General features: G+C 40.0%; 1 annotated feature.

Moving 5' to 3' along the window:
* Positions 327 to 1,324: an enhancer, noted in NCBI's record as "OCT4-NANOG-H3K27ac hESC enhancer chr6:140756877-140757874 (GRCh37/hg19 assembly coordinates)". NCBI's record gives its function as "activates a minimal SCP1, AML or CMV promoter by ChIP-STARR-seq in naive H9 embryonic stem cells {active_cell/tissue: H9 hESC(naive)}" and the evidence as "EXISTENCE:reporter gene assay evidence [ECO:0000049][PMID:30033119]".

The raw sequence follows: 4,380 nt of genomic DNA, 5'->3' as shown, positions 1-4,380 counted from the left end.
AAAAGACATAGAAAGACTGAGGACCTATTCCAGATTGATAGCCAAAGAGCAGAAAAGAAAACATAACACAACCATGTGCTGGACTCCGGGTGACGACATTTAACTAGTCTACAGATTCGGTAATAATATTGTATCTAGTGGTAATTGTGTTGTGAAGATACACAATGATGTTCTTGTTTTTAGGAAGCACATACTGAAGTGTAAAGGGTAGCTTAGTGTGGGCTCATTTCAGAGTAAGATTCTCTCGGTGCCCATAGTCCTAGGGGAGCCTCACACTTTTGTGGGCTTTACCTCTGGAATCTCCACCCAGTTCTTGTGGTAAAAAAACAAAACAAACAAACAAAAACCAGAAAAATTGACTCCTGGTTCTAGCCTGAGGAGAAGAGTAATCCTTGTGAAATGTGCTGAGAGCCTTCTGCATAACAAAGGCCTACACTCTCTGGGGAAACAAAACCTTACCAGAGCCTTGTCCTGGAGCTATGAAGAGGTGCATTCCTCTCACTCCACTAGCATTCCTGTCTCAACTAAGACGAAGAAAAAAAAACCACATATATAAAAAGAAACACTTGTGAAGGTCATGGGCCAGGGACACAGGAGCATTAAAAGACTGAAGTTAATTGAAAAATTATACAATCTTCTTCTCTACCTTACTGCAATTACAACAAAACTTTTGTTTAATAATGGTGGATTACAGAGCTGTAAGACATAGACTTTCTGCAAGGAGGAGCACTTACAGAAGTTCAAAGTCAAGAGGGGAGACAAAAACAAGGACCGTAGAGGAGTTTGAAGCCTCTGGCACATAGAGCTACAACAAACATTGAACAAAGCCCAAACACTAGCCAGATTAACATAAATCCTCACATTACAGGTCTATTTACTTGGCTTCCTATTATGCAATACAACAAGTCCAGTTTCACAAGTAAATGAATGGATGGCATGTCAACAGCAAAAAGGAAGAAAAAGAAACAAGAAAGTAAACAACAAAATAATAACAAAGTCTGAAGAGTCAAAGCAAAGATCAGACCCAGATTCAGGCATGTTACAAATATTGTAATTATCAAGCCGGTAATTGTAAATGTCTATGATTAATATGTTAGGAGATCTAACACAAAAAGTAGACAACATGCAAGAACAGATGGTACAGTAACCAGAGAGACAGAACTCTAAGAAAGAATCAAAATAAAATGGTGGAAATGTTAGAAGCATTTTTACACAAGTAGAAAAAGCCTTTGATGTGCTCATCAGTAGAATCGACACAGCCAAGGTAAGAACTAGTGAGCTTGAATATAAATCTATAGAAACTTCCCAAATTGAAATTAAAAAAAAAAAAAAAAAAGAATAAAAACAAAAGACCAGAACATCCAAGAACTGTGAGACAAATTTAGGGATATAACATAAGATGTAACTAGAGTAAAAGAAGGAAAAATAAAGACAAAAGAGAGCAAAATAAATGTTTGAAATAATAATTTCAAACTTTCCAAAATTAGTGAAAAACACCAAACCATGGATTCAGTAATTTCAGAGAATGTCTAACCAAATAAATACAAACAAATAAACAAAACTATATCGAGGTATAGGACATTCAAATTTTAGTAAACCAATGACAAAGAAAAGATCTTGAAATACTTCAGATAAAAAAACATACTACCTATAAAGGCACAAACATAGAAATTACATTGGAATTCAGGTAAGAAACTATGCAAGCAGAAGAATGGAGTAAAAAAGTATCTGTTTAAAGTTTAACTGTTGAAAAAAACAAATCACCAACCTACTACTCTATCTCCAACAAAATTATCCTCAAAAATTAAAGGAAAAATAAAGACTTTCTCAAAAAATCTAGGACGATCGATCACCAGCAGACTGGTTGCATTAGTCTGTTTTTACACTGCTATAAGGAACTACCTGAGACTGGGCAATTTATGAAGAAAGGAGCTTTAATTGACTCACAGTTCTGCAGGCTTAACAGGAAGCATGACTGGAAGGCCTCAAGACACTTACAATCATGTTGGAAGGCAAGCACATCTTCACATGTCAAAGCAGGAGAGAAAAAAAGAAAGACAGAGAGGGAGGAAGTGCCACACACTATTGAATCATCAGATCTCATTAAGAACAGCATGTGGGAAATCTGCCCCCATGATTCAATCACCTCTCACCAAATTCCTCCACTGACATCTGGGGATTAAAATTCAACATGAGATTTGGATGAGGAAACAGGGCCAAACCATATCATTCTGACCCTGGCCCCTCCCAAATCTCATGCTGTTCTCACATTTCAAAACAGATCATGCTTTCTCATCAATCCCCCAAAGTCTTAATTCATTCTAGCATTAATCCAAAAGTCCAACTCCAAAGTCTCATCTGAGACAAGGCAAGTAACTTCCACCTATGATCCTGTAAACTCAAAACCACCTCTATTACTTCCAATATATGGCATTTGCTAAATTCTCCATATGAAAAGGGAAAAAAATGGCCAGTACAAGGGGGCTACAGGCCCCATGCAAGCCCCAAACCCAGCAGGACAGTCATTAAATCCTAAAGCTCCAAAATAATCTTCTTTGACTCCACGTCTCAGATCCAGGACATACTGATGCAAGGGGTGAGCACCTATAGCCTTGGGCAGCTCCATCCATGTGGCTTTGCAGAGTACAGCCCCTGCGGCTGCTTTCATTGGCTGGCATTGAGTGTCTGTGGCTTTTCCAGACACACAGTGCAAGCTGTTGGTGGATCTACCATTCTGGGGTCTGGAGGACAGTGGCCCTCTTCTCACAGATCCACCAGGCAGTGCCCCAGTGGGGACTCTGTATGGGGGCTCCAACCCCACATTTTCCCTCTGCACTTCCCTAATAGAGGTTCTCCCTGAGTGTTCCTCCCCTGCCGCAGACTTCTGCCTGGACATCCAAGCATTTCCATAGATCCTCTGAAATCTAGGCAGATTTTCCCAAACCTCAACTCTTGCCTTCTGCACGCCCACACTCCCAGTCACCAAGGCTTGGGCCTTGCACTTTCTGAAGCAACAACCCAAGCTGTACCTTGGTTTCTTTGAACCACAGCTGGAGCTGGAATGGCTGGGATGCAGGATGCCATGCCATGTATTGAGGGTGCACAGAGCAGCTGGGCCCTAAGCCTGGCCCATGAAACCATTTTTCCCTCCTAGACCTCTGGGCATGTGAAGGGAGGGGTTCCTCTGAAGGTTTCTGAAATGCCCCGGAGACATTTGCCCCATTGTCTTAGTGATTAGCATTCAGATCCTCGTTACTTATGCAAATTTCTGCAGCATGCTTGAATTCCTCTCCCCAAAATGGGTTTTTCTTTTCTACCACATGGTCAGGTGACATGTTTTTCACACCTTTATGCTTTCCTTCCCTTTTAAACATAAATTCCAATTTCAAACCATCTCTTTGTAAATGCATATGACTGTACACTTTTAGAAAAAGGCAGATTAGCTCTTGAATGCCTTGCTGCTAGAAATTTCTTATGCCAGATGGCCTAAATCATCTCTCTCAAGTTCAAAGTTTCACAGATCTCTAGGGAAGGGGCAAAATGCTGCCAGTCTTTTTGCTAAAGCATAGCAAGAGTGACCTTTACTCCAGTCTCCATTAAGTTCTTCATCTTCATCTGAGACCACCTGAACCTGCACTTCATTGTTCGTGTCAGTATCATCATTTTGGTCACAATCATTCAACAAATCTCTAGGAAGTTCCAAACTTTCCCTCATCTTCCCGTCTTCTTCTGGGCCCTCCTAAATGTTCCAACCTCTGTCTGTTACCCAGTTCCAAAGTTGTTTTCACATTTTCAGGTATCTTTATAGCAGTACCCCACTTCTGGTACCAACTTTCTGTATTAGTCCATCTCTCACTGCTATAAAAAACTACCTGAGACTGGGTAATTTATGAAGAAAAAAAGTTTAATTGGCTCATAGTTCTGCAGGCTTAGCAGGAAACATGATTGGGAGGCGTCAGGAAACACAATTATGGTGAAAGGGGAAGCAAACGCATCTTCACATGTCAGAACAGGAGAGAGAGAGAGAGAGGGAAGAAATGCCACAAACTTTTAAACCATCAGATCTTGTGAGAAATCACTCACTATCATGAGAACAGCATGGGTGAAATATGTCCCCATAATCCAATCACCTCCTACCAGGTTTCTCCCCCAAAATTGGGACTTACAACTCAACATGAGATTTGGGTGGTGACACAGAAGCAAACTATATCACACATGGTGCAAGAAATATTAAAAAATATTCTTCAGGCAGAAGAAAGATGATATGAATCAGAAACTCATCTCTACACAGAAAAAGAAGATCTTCAGAGAAGAAATAAATAAAAGTAAAATAAAGACTATTTTTCTTATCTTTAGGTGATTTAGAATACAAATAATAAT

This window comes from Homo sapiens, chromosome 6 (assembly GCF_000001405.40).
Source record: "Homo sapiens chromosome 6, GRCh38.p14 Primary Assembly".
NCBI lineage: Eukaryota > Metazoa > Chordata > Mammalia > Primates > Hominidae > Homo > Homo sapiens.
The sequence above is the reverse complement of the archived record's forward strand: the minus strand, read 5'-3'. Positions and strand labels throughout refer to the sequence as shown.